This window comes from Homo sapiens, chromosome 10, assembly GCF_000001405.40.
Source record: "Homo sapiens chromosome 10, GRCh38.p14 Primary Assembly".
Classification (NCBI taxonomy): Eukaryota; Metazoa; Chordata; class Mammalia; order Primates; family Hominidae; genus Homo; species Homo sapiens.
Genome location: NC_000010.11, coordinates 70,852,748 through 70,874,462, shown reverse-complemented (window position 1 = coordinate 70,874,462; position 21,715 = coordinate 70,852,748). Strand labels below are relative to the sequence as shown.

The 21,715-nt window shown below is 41.5% G+C and overlaps 1 protein-coding gene across 8 annotated transcripts in view; it reads right to left on the bottom strand.

Moving 5' to 3' along the window:
• SGPL1 (sphingosine-1-phosphate lyase 1) overlaps positions 1 to 21,715 on the bottom strand; it is a 65,237-nt gene that overhangs the window by 6,722 nt on the left and 36,800 nt on the right. For 6 of the 8 annotated variants that reach the window (NM_001438357.2, NM_001438355.1, NM_003901.4 and 3 more), the window contains 8 exons: positions 19,608 to 19,755; positions 16,773 to 16,849; positions 14,964 to 15,092; positions 6,030 to 6,118; positions 4,566 to 4,671; positions 3,317 to 3,415; positions 2,477 to 2,626; positions 874 to 1,112 (listed from right to left, as the gene is read on the bottom strand). In NM_001438357.2, coding sequence (NP_001425286.1) covers positions 874 to 1,112; positions 2,477 to 2,626; positions 3,317 to 3,415; positions 4,566 to 4,671; positions 6,030 to 6,118; positions 14,964 to 15,092; positions 16,773 to 16,849; positions 19,608 to 19,755 — 1,037 coding nt within the window. Of the gene's footprint in view, positions 1 to 873; positions 1,113 to 2,476; positions 2,627 to 3,316; positions 3,416 to 4,565; positions 4,672 to 6,029; positions 6,119 to 14,963; positions 15,093 to 16,772; positions 16,850 to 18,642; positions 18,676 to 19,607; positions 19,756 to 21,715 lie in introns of all 8 variants that reach the window. The other 2 variants (NM_001438353.1, NR_199385.1) reach the window with 2 other exon arrangements.

Genomic DNA, 21,715 nt, shown 5'->3' with positions numbered 1-21,715 from the left:
ATGAGTCACCGCGCCCGGCCTCATGGCTAATTTTTAAATTTGTTGTAGAGATAATGTCTCACTATGTTGCTCCGGTTGGTCTTTAATTCCTGAGCTGAAGCGATCCTTTTGCCTTGGCCTCCCAAAGTGCTGGGATTACAGGCCGGAGCCACCGTGCCTGGCCAAGGATCTTTCTCAAATGAGAAATGCCTGCAGGCAGCTTTCCTTCCCCCTCAATATACTTAAAGAGCCTCCCCAATCCAAGTGACACATAGAGAGATGGGCAGATAAGATGTTAACAGATACATTAGACAAAGCATGCAGCCTGTTCTGGCCTTGGCTTAACCCAAGATTTCATTGCCCTCCTTTCCTCATTCCTTCTGGCCCATTTCCAATTATTTTCTTATTCCAATGATTCTTCAAGTATGATTCCTGGAGCAGTAGCATCAGTATCTCCAGAAATGGAAATTTTTAGAGCCCATCCCAGTTCCACTGAATCAGAAACTCTAGGGGTGGGCCCAGCTACCTGTGTTTTAACAAGTCCTTCAGGTGATTAGAATGCATGCTCAAGTTTGGGAATCACTGTCCTAACCATTAAATTGTACATTAGCCTTAGGGTAAGAGCTGCCAGTTATTAAGACATCCATAGAGATGAGATAAACTACAAATGAGGCCCCCGTCTCAAAGACCCTCCAAAAGTCAGGGCAGAGAAAGGGAGCTTCTTCTCCCAGGCCAGCTGGTCTGGCCTAAGCCCTAAGCTGCTGCCCTAAGCCCTCTATATCGCAGGAGACAACAGGTGGGCTAGGGCTATGGATACTTAGCCAGGCAGGTGCCTTGAGCCTACTAGGACAAAAAAGCAATAGACAAGGCAGAACCCCAGTCTTCCACACATACTCTGACTTGAGGAAGCGAGCAGTTTTGATGATCTGTTTGGTAGCTTCAACATAGCCGTTCTCACCGAAGTGCATCAAGGCAGCCCAACAGGCTGCGCTAATGCCACCAGGCCGTGAGCCTGCGATGGTTGGGGAAGCATAGATGCCACCCTGCCAATCTGTATCGACGAAGAACTGATAGTTCCTGTACTTCTTGTCACTATACAACACCAATGATGAGCCTTTTGGGGCATAGCCATACTGTGGAAGAAGTAGCAGACAAGAAAAGTGAGAGTATAGTTCTGTCTGGCAGACCTTGTCCCAGAACTCTCATCATGCAAAGGAAATCCTATTTATTTCTCAGTTTCTCTGTTATGTTTCCCACTCACATTAAGGATTCAAACTTAAAATGCTAAAGGATAGTAGGAACTTAAGGGATGGAGTTTAAATTCTCTCTGTTAGGAATGAGGAATCTGAGACCCAGGGAAGAACAGCGCCCAGTTAATCGGTTTACTCCCTCTCTTGCCCAGCATGTGGTTTACCTTATTTAAAATATTTCTCTGGAGACCATATGTCAGGATGAAAGCAAGGGTAAGTTTGCAATGGAAGCCAGGAAAGGATGGAATTTGTCACTTCAAGTTAAAATCACCATCTGACCCCCTTCCCATCTTTTTTTGCTTAGTATTACTAAGAATATTATGCTTATGAGAACATAATGGTGCTCAGAAACTAAAAGCTACTTAATCCAGCTTTAAAATTAACTATGTAACTGGTTTCCTTATAGAACATCTGACCCCCTAATTAACTCTTATTAAAACTAACGTGGAACTAATTTCATTACCTGAACCATCCAGAAATGGATGGTTATGGGAAAAGGACACAGGAGCTATCTGGATGGTAAGGAAAAAACAGATGCTGACTGAAAATCGGCTGCAGATCACACCGATTTTGAAAAACAAGTCTTTAATATACTTGAGTTTAAAACAAGCTCTGAAAATGCAATCAAAACAAGGTACACATTCCTGAGGCTGCTAATACTTCTTCCACATCTGGATGTATATTCAATAGCGTTATCAACTGATCTAGACTTTGTCTCAGTCCACCAAGGGTGGCAGGCGTGGCCATCTCAAATGCTGAATGTTCCTGAGCACACAGGTTCTTCCCATTTTCCAAAGGACTCTTCCGTCAACATTTTCCCGTCATGTACGCTCAGGAGCCCAGTTGCACAGCAGCTCTAATGTTATCTACCAGCATGGGAACTCCACTACCAACCCTCACACTCCTCTACCCTCCACCTCAAATCAGCTCAAGGCTTCAGGGAGCTTTTTTAACAAGGGCCACTACACTAGCATGTTCTAGTTACACACAGTCAGTGGATACAGAAATTCTCTTAGCCAATTTGAGATAAAGGTAACAGGTTCATTTTCACTACTGCTTGTCACCTCTACCACTATACCCCATCACCTGAACCAGCTGATCTGGTGACGGCAAAGAGAGAGTTTAAAACAAGCATCTGATGAGAATTCTATAGTTAATTTTATACTTTGCGGGGAAGCTACCAATTTATTTTATCAATAATAGTCAAAATAATCAACTGGTAACACTTGATCTCCTCCTTAGCTCACCTTATGGGTGTCAGCTGAAATGCTGGTTACACCTTTCACCCGGAAATCAAATGGGTGCTCCAGTGGGTATCCTGCTTTCTCCATAAAGACGATGAGGAAGCCTCCCAGACAAGCGTCGACATGAAGGGGTATTTTGTATTTGACAGCCAGCTTGTTCCAAAAAACAAAGAACATAAGAGAATTTCCTTTATAGCCCTATAATAAAAACTGCAAGACATGGGTGGAAAGATGGGCTATAAACACAAGGCTATTTTGTATTATGCCTCCCATGTTTTTAAAAAATGGCTATTTTTAACATTCCCAACAAAATTTATCTTTCAAATGTATTTTCCCTTCAAAATAATTCATCTGAAATATGGTATCAATTTTATATTTAAATATGCATGACCTCAAACGCTCTGCGGTATCAAGCAGGAAATGAGTAGAGCTCTGATTTAGGCTGCCTCTCGCACAAGGGAAAGGTCCTGCCTCAGTCACTGCAGGATGAGGCGTGAGGGAAAGGGAGGCGCTGAGGGGCAGCATGTGGAATATCACCCTTTTGGTGGGCACATTCCTACATGCAGATTATTTCCAGATCTCAATCTAGAAGGCAATCCTATTTCAGAATTTCCAGTTTAAAAGGCCTCAGCCTTGTACTATCTTCCCCCACAGCAGAGACTAGCAACTTTTAAAGGCTTGCAACTGAGCTGCAGGGCTTCCCCTAGGGCTGATGAGAGCTACTTATCACTACTGTGGTCAAAAACAAAAAAAAAATCGCTTCTATTTGCCAAGTACTGCCCCATTAGGCTTTGTTTTAAAATATCCATTTGCCTGCCTTAGCAGCCCATTTCTCTCATATACCTTGGCCACTTCAGGGACAGGATCTATTACACCATGAGGAAACTGTGGGGTAGAACAGACGAGCATGGCAGTGTTCCTGGAGATAGCTCTTCTCATTGCCTAGGGATTTAAAGTTTAAAGGAAAATGAGAATCTATGTCACAATTACTCTTCTCTTCTGCTGCCAAGAGCAATTTGGGCTGCTAGCTTAGAGTTCCAGTTCCACCAGTACCCCCTCCTTCACCACTCCAACTGGGAGAAGACTGCATCCCACCACGGTGACAGGACACAGGTGACTCCAGGTAAGTCCATTTGGAGAATAGTCTGAGAGCACAAAATAAGAACAGAATCGCTGTGGGGGCGAAAATAATATTGAGCTAAGAGGCCAAAGAGCCAAATGTGAGCCCCAGCCCCACAACGTACCAGCAGTGAAACCCTGAGTATGCTACTTCAGTCTGTTCCTTATCTGTGAACTACAATAATATAACAGCTTCATCAACCTCTCTGGAATGTCATAAAGCTCAAATGGGATTCTGACAGAACACTGAAACTAGAAAACTCCTCTACACAAATGTGAGGCATAAAAATAATCACTATCATAATGACAATGGTATTAATTTAAGCCAATCTAAACCACAGTGAGAGTCTTTTTTTTTTTTTTGAGACAGGGTCTTGCTCTGTCACCCAAGCTGGAGTACAGTGGTGTGAACACAGCTCACTGCAGCATCAACCTCCTGGGGCTCAAGTGATCCTCCCACCCCAGCCTCCCGAGTAGCTAGGACTACAGGTGCATGCCACCATGTCCAGCTACTTTTTTAAATTTTGTGTAGAGATGGGGTCTCACTATGTTGCTCAGACTGGTCGCAAACTCCTGGGCTCAAGGGTTCAAGTAATCCTCCCTCCTCGGCTTCCCAAAGTGCTGGGATTACAGATGTGAGCCACCATGCCCGGGCCATGGTAAGAGTCTTAGGGGAAGTGAGTCCATGTTCATTTTACAAATAGAGAAAAGAAAGAAAAAGTGATGGCGCTGACCGCAAAACCAGTGTCTCTCAAGTCCCAAGTTAGTGACTAGATCACCTCCCTTTCAGAATTCATGAACCTATGAAAAGACTGAAGCTGCAGTCAATCACCACTATCAATGCAGTTTTTCATATTCTGGCTGCCACAATCAAAGGCAGTCAGACCCATCTGACTGGAAACGGCTAGTCAACAGGAGGGCCCTTCTGCTGTCAGGGCCCAGCACAGACAGTGGGCCCTCCAGAGGGACTCACCCGCACATCCACCTCCATCATCTTCGTCAATGGGACCCGCACAATCTTCATCCCAAAGTAACTGGCTGCTTTGTTAAATGCAGCATGGGCACTTTGGGGAGCCACACTAAATGACAGGGAAGAGGAGAATAATGTAACTCAGGCCAAAATAATAGAAAACACCATTAGCAGCTAATCTAAATTACCGGGAGTAAGTTCTGATTATTTTTCCCCAAATTAAAAATTTAAGTGTTTAGACTGCTCTACTTTTCTTTTTAAGCACACCCAAAAAGAGGCCAACTGATTTTCTGCAGAAACTTCCCTCCTATTTAGGAAATCATTCTGGCAATAGGAAGAGGACTCAGAAGTGATCCCACAGTGAGGGATCCAAAGCATAAAGCTAGGCTGGCAGGCGGAAAGCTGGGGGACAGAGACTTTGGATGAGAGCAACACAAGGCAGAGCTGGCTAACGGTTGCCTACCAAAGACAGGCACCTCAGTGAGAATGAGAAGAAGGCTTCCCGGCACAACACATGTTCAAGCAGAAATGTTCACACAGCGGCCAAGCATCAGCTCAGTGGCCCCTTCCAACTCTGAAAGACAACAAACCTGAAGAAACTAAAATCCCCATTTCTCCTACACATTTGGAAATAGTATTTCAAATAGTGTTGAAAGAGAAAATGAGGTCACGGGTATTTGCTTTAGACTTTCCTCAACTACTCCATTCATACAACGAATCTGTTCCCTCTAAGGAGAAAAATCTCTACTACTGAGGAAGTACCAAGCACCAAAGATCGACATATGAAGAAAGAATGGCAGCCTGGTTTATTCTCTTATGCTACATATGAACCACAGCATGAGACCATATGCAATAAATCCCCATTGTCAAGTAATACTTGCAGTAAAAATATTAAGATGTAGGATAAACATACTGTACAAGGGGACAGTCTAGGAAAAAATAATGTAACTAAACATCAAATTTATGTCCAAGGAAGGCAATGTGGGTAAATCTCAAAAAGATATTTTTATTCTTCCTCCCAGAAAACAGCCCTCACACTAAAGTTTTCCCAGAGAGTACCCTGAGGCAGCCTATAATATTAAGTAACTTTCTAAGGTAAGCAGAACTAAAGTACCTAGAGAGGTTTCTTTAGGCTCCAAATAATTTGCAAATATCACAGGATTCAAAGATGTAGTCCTCAAACTCTCACTTTTGGAAAAAGGATCTTATTTTTGCTTGTAGTATATACTATGCATGATCTGGGGGTGGGGCGGGATGGGAATGATCTTTAAAAATAACTGGCTGATCCATTTAGAATTTTACTGAATGTAAAAGGATAAGGGCAGAGGGGCTAGGACAGGGGGAAAGGGGACCAGAATTACCAGAGGAAGAGAAGCAGCAGGAAAATGGATTATCTGCTTTAGTTTCATAAAGCTGTACTCCAGACAGACAAATCCAAAAGGGGACAAAACAGCCACACATACATACATTTCTGGAGTTTTGATCCCCTTCTCAAAGGCCAGATCCCGATATGCTTTGCAGGCCATCAGTATGCTTTCTGTTCCCCCAGAAGTCACCTATAATAAAGAAGAGATGCCATCTGTTGGGGGAGTCAGGAATGCCCCGGCTCTTCATGCCCTGATCTTGACAATGTTTGATACAGAAACAGATAAGGTCTTGGATGCATGCTGCAAGGCAGACACTGCCATGTCTTCCAGAAGGAAAATTTGGCTTTATTGGCTAAGCCTAATTTTGGCTCAGGTGAAGAATGAAAGCTACTAAATAATGAGCAGAAACTCAGCACTGCCTAGACAAATGCACACTTGGCCAGATCCCACCTATTCACAATCCATTTACATTTCTGTATTAATTTTTCAATTTTCAGATAAGATAGGGCATTTTATGCCATTCAAAAATATCAGAATTTTAATTTAAATTTTCAATACCTGTTAAAGAATGTGAAATTGTGATTACAATTCTAGTAAACTGTGCAATACACTAAAAAGAGACATTCAGATTTAACAAAGTAAACTGCTGATTTTGACAAGTTTGAAAGACAGAGAAAAGCAGAAGTTTCTACTTGATGGAAGTTTGTTGCCTTATCTGAAATAAAACAAAAATCCTAATTTTTTTTAAGTGAAGTGAAATGTTTTCCTAAAGTTTGGCCTAGCCCCTCTGATAAACACATTTCTTTACCAGAGTTCAAACAAAAAGACGTAGGGGTCTTTTTATTCATCTTATTTCCCTCACTGGACTATAAATTCATGAAAGTAGGGACCAGTCTGTTCATGACAAATTCCTAGCACCTGACATAGTGGCTGACACCTAACAAACCCTCAATCCATTTTTTTTTTTTTTTTGAGACAGAGTCTCACTCTGTTGCCCAGGCTGGAGTGCCATGGCATGATCTCGGCTCACTGCAGCCTTTGCCTCCTGGTTCAAGCGATTCTCCTGCCATAGTTACCCGAGTAGCTCGGATTACAGGCGCCCACCACCATGCCCACCTAATTTTTGTATTTTTAGCAGAGACGGGGTTTCACCATGTTGGCCAGGCTGGTCTCAAGCTCCTGGCCTCAAGTGATCTGCCCACCTCAGCCTCCCAAAGAGCTGGGATTACAGGTGTGAGCCACTGCACCTGGCCTTCACATTTCTTAATGCCTGACTTGACTCTCAGTAAACCTTGACCAACACAGGCATGTCATAGCCACCTGGCTATTTTTTTAAAAAATAATATATGAGAATGAATCATTCCAAAACAAACAAAAAGCCACAATACTAAACTAGTTGGACAACTTCTTAGACTTACCATCTCTGAAGATTCATACAATCTTTGAAAGGTTTTTTCAATTTACAGGTGAGAAAACTGAGCCCTTGAGGAATTAAAGTGTTTCACTCAATGTCATACATTAGCATCTGTTGATAAGAAGTAAAACTTTCTACGTTTTCATATTTAGTGTAGCTTAATACAAGATGGAATCAGAGAAAGTGACCACTGAACTTTGCTAAAATAATATCCACACATAGAACAAAAATACCATTGGATACAAAATCCCTGTGGCCAGGAGTTATATGGAAGATGAACTGAGAAAAGTCATTTTTTGACTCAGGAAGTCTTTATGAAACATGTGACCATCACCAAAAAATAATGCACCCAACTTGGGCATGGGACACTTGTAGGTCACTACATTTCTACGCTGCAGAAGACAAAGTGCTTACAGCTGAGGTCAGCTCTGCAAATCAGCAGCATGTCCTGTGGTTTAGCATAAAACCTCAGAATGTCACAAGAGTCGTCAAGCCAGCTGTGAAGAGTCGGGGAGGGACCAGCAAAGTCCAAGTCACCAGTGCAACAATCTCTTCGTAAGGTCCAGTAATGACCTAAGCAATAATATTTCCAAATTCCTAGTCACCTGCTTCATGTGTCCTACTTTTAGTCCAATAACTAGTCAAAACATCATTGTTATGCAAACACCAGTGGACTTTTGACTGTAAAAGTAGGAATACCTAAATTCTACTTTTTTCTTTTTTGTTTTTTTTTGAGATGGGGTCTCAATCTTTCACCTAGACTGGAGTGCCATGGCGTGATCTCGGCTCACTGCAATCTCCACCTCCCAGGCCTAAGAGATCCTCCCACCTCATCCCCCAAAGTAGCTGGGACTACAGGCACACCCCACCATGCCTGGCTAACTTTTGTATTTTTTGTAGAGACAGGGTTTCACCTAGTTGCCCAGGCTGGTCTCGAATTCCTGGGCTCGAGCGATCCACTTGCCTCAGCCTCCCATGGTGCTGGGACTACAGGCGTGAGTCACTGTGCCTGGGCCTAAGTTCTACTTTTAATATGTATTTTTGATTCTGTGTTTTAAAATGCTATTACTCTCCCACTTCTTTCTACCTCCTATACCCAAAGAGAAACAGGAATTTTAACTGTGAAGTAAGAAAATGGAGGCCTCAGTAACTATTTGTTATGTCATTCAACTTCTTTCAACATGTATAAAAACTCTCACTTTAACATATGATATGTATTTCAGAAAACAAGAGAACAACATCTACTTGGAAAATTTTCTTTCAGATGCTGTTTGGATCTGATAACATTAGCACAAGCCAAGAAGAATGTTTCACATGGTAACCTAATTTCTTTTAGTATGTGAAGTTACCTCTATCATTGTAACTGAGACAAATAAAGTTAATAGAAGGAAAGATAGTTTAAGGCTGAAGAACAAAGAATGAGAGAGCTTACAACTCTTAACTCTTAGCTAGGAATAACCTAAAGACTGCCCAGCCATTTGGTTTTATCTTCTGGCTTCCCACCTCTGAACAGTGAACTCTTTCTTCACTAGAAGCAGCTCATCCAGAGAGAGAAGTAAGAAGCTAAGGGAGGAGTGGGGGAGACAGAGTGGGAGAGGGAAAAAGACAATACCAGTGCTGATTAGTTATTTTATAAAAGTCTAAATATTAGAAGAGCCTGGGAATCAGACTCTATCCTTCTTCTGATCCCTCACACGTGCTGAAGATCAAAATAATAGAGATATGGTTTAATTGCAGCAATGCAAAAAACCCCTAGGCCTGGACTTCAGGAGTAAGATGGGAAGAAAAAAAAAAAGGGTGAGTGCAGGGAGAGAAAAGAGTCAAAATCTACAATAACAACAACCAAACAAGGAAAGAGAGATAATCTAGGCAATAAACTTCAAATATTGGCAATCAAAAAAAAAAAAGAAACAGTGAAACAGCAGAGAGCAGAAGTAAGCAAAACACTAGTTTCTAATCAGCCCTTGAAACTGTACCGCAAAGTCAGCAAAATCCTGAGAATTTTCCTTTATACCCCCAAATCTGCAGAGGCAAGCTGAGGGGGTTTCCTTATTTTCTTCTTCTTCTCATGAGTGAGTGGTAAACATGGCTGCTAGGGAGAAATGAGCAAAATGAAGAGAGAACATCAGGATTGGCTCTTTAGAGTGAAGACTTCAGTGAATTAAATAATCAGAGCTCAAAGGGTATATTATCTCTTCCAAATAAGAGAGTGAACTCTGATAGGTAACTTTGAAGAGAATCTCAGAATAGACCTGGTTATTCTAATACAGATAGAACAAAGCTTTGGCTGAGCTTTGTCCCCAGCCAAATGGTCTCAGACAGGAAGCACCCACAGTGCATAAGAACAATGTCTGGAGAATGCCACCCCAAGATGAGAGAAAATGGCAAGGAAACTATGCAAACAAACTAAAAGGCAGGGGAAAAGGTAGTATGTAGCATGCAAAATAAAAACCCAACACAGAAGGAAACAAGCTAAGGGATGAAGGAAACCCCTTATAACTTTCTCACTATAGGAAAATATCATAAGAACATGAATTTAAGAAAACAAAGAGTTCAAAACCTAGACCATGAAACAAAAAGAATGAGCTACAGACCTAAAAAAACAAAGCCAGTAGCATCCATACAGAACTAACAAAGACATTAGGAACAGCAAGGAATAAAATAAACATTGCCAAGAATAAAAATGCTGACTTCAAGGAAAAGGTCTGAAATAAGTTTATTGAACCCAGATTTAAAAAAGACAGAGATTGAAAGATCAATGCCACTCCAAATGTGGAGAACTGTGTTCAATCTGGCCAGAGGCAACCAAAAGTCATACAGAGAATGACTGCGATGGTTGGAAGTCTGTGAAATCATATGAAAAGCGGAGTAACCCAGAAAAATGTGGGGCAGAGAAGATTCAGGGAGAAAGGGGCTTTCAAATAGACGAAGGTCTGTAACATGGAAAAAACAATTATGGAACTTCTATTTCTAGCAATATTATATACCTTGAGCAACCTTCCTAACTGAAATAACTAAAAAACTTGATAAAACATCAAAAAAAAAAAATTTAAACCTATCACTAACCTAACATAAAGAAACTTGCTAAACCCCCAAACAAAGCAAAATCAAGAATCCTGCAAGATAAGTGAGTGGCAAAACTAGCTTTCACCCTGAGGTGGCACCAGACCCTTCAGACTTCAAACTCCTACACTGACAGATGAGCAAAGGATGGACCAGAAGATACATTAGAGACTGCCCAAGATAAGGAGTCCAACAGGAGATGGCTGGAAAAAGACCACACTCTACAGTGTACAAGAAATAAATCCCACTACTGCAAAAGAGAAAAGAAAAACTGTTTTTCTCAACCCTGATGTTCAAGTAAAGAAAAATAGCAATCTTTCAAGAATGTGTAACAAGGAAGCCTTTATGTGAGTTTGTGGTCAGAATTCACACTACCTCTGTGGTACAAAATGACAAGCTAAGGATTTGACTTAATTTGGTTCCAGTGTGGTGGCAATCCCCAGCAACTCAAAAAGGTATGACAAATCTTCTCTGGAAGAAGAGAACTTCCAGACTTAACTTCAATCTAGGCCTCAAAGAATCCCTAGGTTCCCAGAAAAATGAGTGGCTCATAAAAAAATAAATAAATAAAATAAAATCACAAATATAAGGAAACAAGGAACCATGACTGAAGCCAGCAGAATCAGGTAAGGCTCATGGATATTGGAATTATCAGACACAGAATACAACATATTTATGTGTAATATATTTAAGTAAACAAAAGTTAAGCCAAGGAAAAGGACTATAAAAAACAACCAAGCAGATTAAAAAAAAAAAAAAAAAAAAAAGACGGCCAAGCGTGGTGGCTTACGCCTGTAATCCCAGCACTTTGAGAAGCCAAGGCAGGCAGATCACTTCAGCTTGGGAGTTCAACACCAGCCTGGGCAACATGGTGAAACCCCATCTCTACTAAAAATACAAAAATTAGCGAGGCATGGTGGTGCATGCCTGTAGTCCCAGCTACTCAAGGGGGCTGAGGTGGGAGGGTCGCTTGAGCCCAGAGAGGTCAAGGCTGCAGTGAGCTGAGATGGCACCACTACACTCTGGCCTGAGCAACAGAGTGACACCCTGTCTCAAAAAATAATAATAAAATAAAAGGAGAACTACAAAACAGAATTCTTTAGAATGAAATTAGAGTAAATAAAATTGAAAAGCCCAATGGGCTTCTACTGTGTCCGGAATTGGTGGGTTCTTGGTCTCACTGACTTCAAGAATGAAGCCGCGGACCCTCGCGGTGAGTGTTACAGCTCTTAAGGTAGCACGTCTGGAGTTTGTTCCTTCTGATGTTCGGATGTGTCCGGAATTTCTTCCTTCTGGTGCGTTCGTGGTCTCGCTGGCTCAGGAGTGAAGCTGCAGACCTTCACAGTGAGTGTTACAGCTCTTAAGGCAGCGCGTCCGGAGTTGTTCGTTCCTCCCGGTGGGCTCGTGGTCTCACTGGCTTCAGGAGTGAAGCTGCAGACCTTCGTGGTGAGTGTCACAGCTCATAAAAGCAGCGTGGACCCAAAGAGTGAGCAGTAGCAAGATTTATTGCAAAGAGCGAAAGAACAAAGCTTCCACAGTGTGGAAGGGGACCCGAGCGTGTTGCCACTGCTTGCTCTGGCAGCCTGCTTTTATTCTCTTATCTGGCCCCACCCACATCCTGCTGATTGGTAGAGCCAAGTGGTCTGTTTTGTCAGGGCGCTGATTGGTGCGTTTACAATCCCTGAGCTAGACACAAAGGTTCTCCACGTCCCCATCAGATTAGTTAGATACAGAGTATCCACACAAAGGTTCTCCAAGCCCCCACCAGAGCAGCGAGATACAGAGTGTCGATTGGTGCACTCAGAAACCCTGAGCTAGACACAGGGTGCTGATTGGTGTGTTTACAAACCTTGAGCTAGATACAGAGTGCCGATTGGTGTATTTACAATCCCTGAGCTACACATAAAGGTTCTCCAAGGCTCCACCAGACTCAGGAGCCCAGCTGGCTTCACCCAGTGGATCCCGCACCGGGGCTGCGGGTGGAGCTGCCTGCAGGACTGGAGCTGCCTGCCAGTCCTGCGCTGTGCGCCTGCACTCCTCAGCCCTTGGGTGGTCGATGGGACTGGGCGCCGTGGAGCAGGGAGTGGCGCTCGTCAAGGAGGCTGGGGCCACACAGGAGCCCACGGAGGGGGTGGGAGGCTCAGGCATGGCGGGCTGCAGGTCCCGAGCCCTGCCCCAGGGGAAGGCAGCTAAGGCCCAGCGAGAAATCGAGCGCAGTGCCGGTAGGCCGGCACTACTGGGGGACCTAGAACCCCCTCCGCAGCTGCTGGCTGGGTGCTAAGCCCCTCATTGCCCGGGGCCGGCAGGGCCGGCCGGCTGCTCCGAGTGCGGGGCCCGCCAAGCCCATGCTCACCGGGAACTCTAGCTGGCCCGCAAGCGCTGCGCGCAGCCCTGGTTCCGGCTCACGCCTCTCCCTCCACACCTCCCTGCAAGCTGAGGGAGCCGGCTCCGACCTTGGCCAGCCCAGAAAGGGGCTCCTACAGTGCAGCGGTGGGCTGAAGAGCTCCTCAAGTGCCGCCAAAGTGGGAGCCCAGGCAGAGGAGGCGCCGAGAGCGAGCGAGGGCTGTGAGGACTGCCAGCACGCTGTGACCTCTCACTACTTATCACCAGGCTCCAGCAATTTTCAATTTACAGCCAATCTTTCATCTACCCCCAACTGCCCCAGCCATCGTTGCTATTGAGTATCAGTTGTCCTAACAGTTATGCCTTTGTAGGTAATCTATTTTCTCTGGCTGCTCTCAAACACCAGTTAGATGTGTGTTAGCCTTCTCATCCTATCCTTTGCATCTCTTAGCCTCTCTTTCATACCTTCTATTTCTTTGTCTCTCTGGACTGCATTCTGGTTAACTTTTTTTTTTTAATCTGTCTTGTTCCATAAATGTGATTTTGGAACTATGTAATTATTTTACCTAGTTTTAAATGAACCAGGGCTCCTTGGATAAATGGCTGATTGAAGGCCTGGAGCAGGAAATGGACAAAGTGAACCTGAACCTGGAATATTTCGTCAAAAAAAAAAAAAAAAGGAAAGAAAGAGAAAAAAGGCTTTCAAAGATTACTTGGGTCATGTAAATGGACCTAGGAGCCAATATGATGTTTCCACTGGCCAAAGATGGATGAGGCAATTTGTACATCAATCTGAATAAGAGCTACAATGGATTGAGGCACACACAGCATTCCACAATTTATTCATCTGTGTCCTGTGGATAGGCATTTGAATTACTTCCAGTTTTTAGCTATCATGAATAACATTGCTATGAATATTAATGTCCATATATCCTGATATATATGTGTACTAATTTTTCTAGAGTATGTCCTAGTAGCAGAATTTCTGGGTCATAAGATATATGTATCTTCAAATTTACCAGATAAGGCCAAACTGTTCTGTGGCTATTCACTCTGGCCTCTTACAAGTTCTTCAAGAGTCTAATGGCATAGGAGAATATACTGTAAGTACATTATCATCTTCCCTCTGAAAGTCACCCTGTTCACCTCAGTACTCTAAGGGAAACTGCTGCTGTATTATGGGTGGTTCTGTTTTTAACAGTTTCAGTATTTTGCTTTGAAAATGAATGCCAGGCATATCACCTTTATTACTACTAATATTTGAACATGATGATTTTCATGGCGCCAACATATTAGAAAAACAAAACAAAAACAATGCTTCCTGGAAAAAAAAAAAGAAACTAAATTAGGTGCTCTTCGAATGGGCCCTTCAATAATTAAATCTGCAGTCTTTATAATGACTGCAAATATGATGAGTATCTGATAGGATTAGCACCTCTAGGACACCATTGCAGCATATTGAGTTAAATCTATCTATCCTACATAACCTGAGATTTCGTTTTTTCTAAAGACAACAGATCTAAACAGAAGTTTATCTATCATAGTTTACGAAAACTAACAACCATCTACTTGAAAGAACAGGTAAAACAAAGAATCCTCATGTGTTTCTTTAAATATAATGATGTCCTCCCCCTTTCTTTATGCCTAATAGCAACTAAATGAGGTTCAGTTTACAGCAAAATAATAAATTAAACTTTGGCTCAGGTAAAACCAGAAGTACACTAAAAACACTGCTGGATGGAACAACAAAAGTATACACAGATAAATAGGGGAATGGTAGGTATGCAGGTGGGGGATGAGGGAAGAAGCGGGTAGGGAGGGAAAGAGTGTAGAGAGCAGATATGGCAACATATTTACATTTAGTGAATCTAAGGTGTTCTTTAAGCCATCCTAGCAACTCAATGTAGGTTCAAAGTTTTTCAAAATAAAAAGGTGAAAATAAAAATATCTAGAAGAATATATACCAAAATGTTGACATTGTCTAGGTTACAAAATTACAAGTAACATTTAAAACTGCAGTTAATTAGGATCTTTCTACAATGATCAAATATTCCTTGTGTAGTAAAATGACCTTTCTACAATGATCAAATATTTCTTGTGTAGTAAAATATTTTTAATATTTTTTATTTTTTAAAATATAATTAATATTTATTAAAAACTCTTCTATTTTAACCTAAAAAATAAGGCTATTGGATGCCCCTTGCATATACTTACACATCCACACGAATCTGGTCCCCCATTGAACAGGGAACAAGCTATCCTCACGATTTCTGCCTCTATCTTGCGTAGTCCTGGGAAGATATCTGGATGCAGGGGGTTACTCCATGCAAAATCTCCATAAGCCTGCAAAAAAATGCAAGCAGATGTGAAATCAAAACTATTACACTATACAGGACAAAGAATCATGCACTAAACAACAGTTTCTAAGTATTAGGCACAACAATATAAACTGGAAAAAAAGATAAGATATATTCCTCAACCAAAAGATCAAAACATAGCAGAGGAGACAGACATGTAAATAAATAATTTTACAATGTGATGAGGAAAGAAGTATAAATATGGTTAAAAGCGCAGACTATAACACCAAACCGACCCAGGAGGAAGTCTAAGCTTTGCCTATTACTTTCAGCTGTGTAGGTCACATAATCTAAGGTTGTTTCTTCATACGCAGAAGTTGTTATGGTAGCTATCTTCTAGTGTTCTAGCAATAATTAAATAACATAATGCATGTGAAGCACTTAGTAGAGTGTCTGGCACAAAGCAGCTGTTGTTATCGACTGCAATATCAGGTGTGTGTACAGAGTGCTAAGGGACCCTGAAGAGGGAACAACTAACATCCTGAGTGATCTAGAGGTGTCTGCTGAGTGGAACTTTGAGAGATGAGTAGGAATCATCATTTGGAACAAGAGGAATGATGGAAGGGAAGGAAAACAACGTAAAAGCATGACACATTTAGTAAAGAGAAAAGGCAGGATTAGTGTTTATGTGGGAAATGAAGAGAAGTAGTTAAGAAAAAATAAGTGGGAGCTGGCTCATGAAGAAACTTGTATTCTCTGCTGCATAAGAACCTGAGTTTCATCCTGTAGATAATGGGAAGCTACTGAAAGATTTTAAGCACAGAAGATCAGAGCATTACACCAACTTATGCAAAACCTGCCATATTTATTTAGTAAGGGACAGTTTCATATTTATAATAATCAAACACAAAGACCTTAGAGATCATCAGTACAACCCCAATTTTATATGATGAAGTGGAGTTTCAAAAATAAATATGAGGGCCGAGTGCAGTGGTTCACAGCTGTAATCTCAACACTTTCAGAGGCCAAGGCAGGAGGATCACTTGAGGCTGGGAGTTGAAGACCAACCTGGGCAACAGAGTGAGACCCCATCTCCAACAAAAAAATACAAAAATTAGCTGGGTGTCATGATGCACGCCTGTAGTCCCAACTACTCAGGAGGCTGAGGTGGGAGGATCACTTGAGCCAAAGAGGTCAAGGCTGAAGTGAGCCATGATTACACCACTCCACTCCAGCCTGTGTGACAGAGTGAGACTTTGTCTGTAAAAATAATAAAATAAAATAAAAATAAATTTGATTAGAAATGGAAGAAGCTAAGAATGAGAATTATTTGAAGTATACATGAGACCACTGCTCATCTTGGGTCACATGATTTGAGAAAATTATGAAAGAGTTTCCCTATCTTATCTCTTCTTATCAAACAAAATCTGTCTCACCACAAAAATCTCATCTGACAGGACTACCTTCCCTAGTAATCTGCCTTCTAGACAGGACATCTGCAAAGACTGAAAACATAAATAACATTTTACTATTTTACAGACTGAAGATGTCTTTGATAATATTATACATATTCGCCTATGTTTGGGTGAAGAGAAACTTTTATGGTTTTATTGTACCAATAAGCTTTCCTTAAGTAATTTTTCTAATTACAAAAGTAAGGGAAAAAAAGGAGGTCATGTAAACTGGCACAGACCTCACAGGCTTCCCTCAAGAACTGGACACTCACCTTCACAAGGAGCTCAGTGAGCTTCTCCTCCCCACTGTACACTGTTCCAGAGGCTCTCCCCTCTTGCCAGAAGGCGTCTGCAGAGAAAGGTAAGGTCACTGGTCAGTAAGCAAGAATCTCTGGGAAGACAGGTTCTGATAAAGAAGAAACAGGAAGAAACTCCTCTGGATACAAAAGAAAAAAATGTTGAGTGGAAACCCAACAGCATTCTTATAGCAAATCAAGAAAAAAGTTCAATAGAGTTAGCACAATAAAATAAAGATGAAAAATCATTATTATCAGCAATGTGAAAAAGATATTAATAGCATTTAGCTACAATAAAGGCAATCTGATAATAATGTTGTCCTCATCCTCAACTGCCTTCTAACAGCAGGAACATTTGCCTTTGTCTATACTTATTTTTTGTTCTCTATATGGCTTTGGAGTGGCCTTTTTCTGCAATAGCTTCCTTCTTCTCTCCTTTCCTATCCAGTCCTAGGAATTTTGAGAACTATTATGAGCAGAGTTGGCAGAAGAAAGCAAAATGAAAAGTGTGAAATTTCAGCACACTATCATCAGAGATGAAACCAGCAAACAAACCACAATGAGGTATAAACCATGAGCACCCCGGTCTCAGACGCCGGCTCCCTTAAGCCAAGCCTGGAAACCCACATAAAACTAGTTACCTGCTTCCAGCAGCACACGCTGTAGCATATTCAAGATCAGGAACACAGTCAACATTGGGATAAACCTCCTTTATCCCAGTGTGGAAAGAAAAGTAAAGTTCCTGAGTAGAATATAAGATCTGACTTTCCACTTTCCTCTCTCCCCGAGACATTCTTCATTTTACCCACAAATTTGTTGATATGGGTGTCTCAGGTCCTTGTGCTACAATGCAGCTGTGCCCTATTGAAAGTGGGTAGTGAGAAAGCTATTACGGAAACACACCAACTAAAAACTGCATGGAGCCAAGGGCTCTCCAAAGCAAAGATCTTCAGCTCTTGAGAACAGAAAACTAAGTGGTAAATATACAGACAAACTCATTCTTACAGCAATCTGCCAAGCTCTGGCTTGCTGCCCGTTTGACTTTCACTCTTTCCTTAGAGGACACTGCTCTGTACTATACACAGCTTCAGACCAGTGGTCACCAGCCTTTCAAAAATAAGATAACTGGTTTCATTTCCTGTTCTTTTACTGATGCTAGAGAATACAGCAATGGACAGTGACTTAAACATTAAAGAGAAGGCAATATGATGGCGGCAACCAGGTCTCATAATCATGGAAATCTTTAACACCAGGTTTTAGAGTGCTAACCACTGCTTTATTCATCTACATCCTAGACTATATCAAATTTTGTACTATTCAATGTCAAGACCTCAACACATGTCACTTAGAAATTGTAAGGGTATTTGTCAAGGCCGAGCACAGTGGCTCACACCTGTAATCCTAGCACTTTGGGAGGCCAAGGTGGGCAGATCACCTGAGTTCAGGAGTTCGAGACCAACCTGGGCAACATGGTGAAATCTTATCTCTACTAAAAACACAAAAAATTAGCTGGGTATGGTGCCGCACGCCTGTAATCTCAGCTACTTGGGAGGCTGAGGCACGAGAATTGCTTAAGCCTGGAAGGTGGAAGTTGCAGTGAGCTGAGATCACACCACTGCATTCCAGCCTGGGCAACACAGTGAGACTCTGTCTCAAAAAATAAAAAATAAGGGTATTTGTCAAAATGCAACATGGCTCCTGGTTGGCTCCTAGAATAGAAAAAAGAACATTAGTTTAAAACAAAACATAGCAAAACAAAAAAAAACCCTGATGAACTAGAAATAGAATTTGTAGTGTAGTTAATAGCACTGTACCAATGTTAATTTTTTAGTTTTGATAAACGTACCATGGTTATAGAGGATGTTAACATCAGGAGAAGCTGGGTATAGGGAAATCTCTATCATCTTTGCTACTTTTCTGTAAATATATCAAACTAAAAAGCTTCTTTTTAAAAAGTACTTGTAATATGATCTTAATCAGTAACAAACATAAATCTGTTTGAGTTAATAATAGCAATAATGTTTAACATTTACTGAATCCTTACTATATGCCAGGCACTATAAAACATTTATACATGTATGATCTCATTTAATCCCCATAATCATCTTTTCAGGTAAGTACTGTACTACTATTACTATCCCCATTGTAGAGATACAGGAACTGTGACATACAGAAGTAACTCGCCAAAGGCATACTTTAAGTGGCAAACCAAGGTATGAATCCAGGCTGGTTCCAGGGTTACGCTCTTAAGCACCAAGCTATTTGGTCTATTTATCCATCCCATATGTGCTCATGCATACATGTGTATACACACAGACAAACACTATTAGCATTCTCAGAAACAGACAGATATACATATATAGATAGATGTAAACTATATAGACAGCTCTACCTATAGCTACATGCATAAAGATAGACACCATCTGTTTATCTTTGATAGTGGAATTATAGTGACTTATTTTCTTTTGTGCCTTTATGCAGATTTCACATTTTTACATGGATCTGTATTTCATTTGTATTACATATCTTATATTCTCTCTTCTTAAACACAAATATATTTGTTTTATTCATGCTTACAAAAGGAAATAAAAGCCAAGTTCCACTGTCTCTGAGATTTGCTTGCTTTATGGATGAAGGATGAATCTAAACATAATTTTAAAAATAGGAAATTCAACCTGTGAAACAGAGAGTAGGCCCTCCTAAACATGTATTAACCAATGATGAGTTATTCTTAACCTATGTGAACATTAAACAATGACAAAACCTGTCTCTTTAAGGAAGTAGAGAGCATGTATATGCCAAGCATCATACCCATAGAGCTGTACTCCTTAAGTTTCTCCAAAACAGCAGATGAGCTCAGACCCTGGGAGGGTAAAGCTTTCACATACTCTTTGTCCACTTTCAGGAATGACATGTTCTTGCTAATATCATCCTTGGTCTTGTTCAACTTGTCTTGAATCTCCAAAGGTAAGAAAGACAAAGTTATCCAGATGCAAGAGTACAGTAGAGACAGCAGAATTATTATGACAGTCAAGCAACTGCTCAATGCTAGGCACCGCACAAGTAACTAAACTAACATTTTTCCTAAAGATATATGGTGATATTCTGACTGATCAGCTACTTTCTGGCATGTACAATAGCCTCTTAAAAATTTGAAAAGCGAAGCTTCTCTCTAAAGGTCAAGATGCACTCAGCCGGTCGCGGTGGCTTACACCTATTATCACAGCTCTTCAGGAAGCCGAGGTGGGCAGATCATTACAGGTCAGGAGTTCGAGACCAGCCTGGCCAACATGGTGAAACCCCATCTCTACTAAAAATACAAAAATTAGCCAGGCATGGTAGCAGGCATTTGTAATCCCAGCTACTTGGGAGGCTGAGGCATGAGAATCACTTGAACCCAGGAGGTGGAGGTTGCAGTGAGCCAAGATCACACCACTGTACTCCATTCAGCCTGGGCAACAGAGCAAGACTCTGTCTCAAAAAAAAAAAAAAAAAAGTTGCACCCAATTTCCCCATAACCCTTTTCTCTGCCACATTGACATCACTGCTGCTTCACTTGGTTGGCATTGCTAAAGTCAGCACATCCTTGAGGGCAGTATTTGGACTTTGATCCTGCCTTGGCAGCAGCTACAGTGTGTGTGTAAAAGAATCAAAGGTATAACTAGGAACAGTGGCCAGAAAACTGGCCATGCTGCAGTAAAAGTGATTCTGGTCCTTGTGCAAGTGATGAGCTCCTTCAACAGACATACACGCAGCACACTAGGAATTTGGAGGTCCCATTCAACACTAGCACAAGGCATTCTAAGAACTGCCAGGAAGACTCTAATGTATCTCCTTAAGCTGCTGTCGACAGCTTGCACTGTCTGACCCCAAAATATTAAAAGGAACTAAGGTCCTTTCTGCTAGGTAGTTTATCAACTATGGTTCCCTTCTTTTCCATCCTCAAAGCCACAGCTTCTGAGCTGTTTTCTTTTATTCACTTACATATTCACATTCATATTCACTGCATATTCACAAATATGCAGGCCAGGGACACATAGTGAACAAAACAAACTTAGGCAATGGAGCACACAGGAAAAAAAACCTCCTGTCCTCATGAAGTTTATTTTCAGCAGGAGAGACAGAAAATAGTAAGACAGGTAACAAAAAGTGCTGAGGGAAAAAAAATAGCAGAGTAAGGAGGCAGAAGGGCAGGGGCTGCTGCTTATAGCAAAAGGCTCTTGGGTAGTAGGTTTGGGGAGAGAAGCTACATGTCACGATTTGTCACAGTGCTATTGTTTCAGCAATATATTTGTTAAAGAACGCCAGAACTCACTCCACACTAAGATTTTCTCATCTCTAGCCAAGGATAATTAGAATACAAGAAGATCTTCTTAGATATGGCCCTCAGTGAAACCACAGGGAAAGCCACTCCTTTCGAGCATGTCTGCAATAGTCTAAGAGGCCCACACTGGCAGGGAGCAGAGGCTACACTCCTGGGCAATGCCTGGGCATGCTATGGATGTGAAGACATTTTTTAAGTTGTAAATTAAAAAATTAATTCACATAAATGGCGACTCATGCAACAGAACAGGCTATGAAAGCTGAGCTTCCATACATAGAGTATGCTATTGCCATAAAACAGACAAAAAGTGACAGAGAGGTATATTAGAAAGCACAAGTACTTCCTTACCCCCAATTCTTGCCTCAAAGCCTGTATTACGTTACCCAATTTTAATTTCTTCAAAGCATTTATTTCAAAATAAAATTCCACATATTTGTTTACTTCTTTATTTTCTGTCTTTCCTATTAAAATGTAAGTTCCATGAGAGGAAGGATTTGGTCTTGTTCACCACCATATCCCCAGCACCCAGAAAAGTACTTGACACTGAGCAGGTGGCTCAATAAGCATGTGTTAAGTGAATAAATGACAGAGGTAT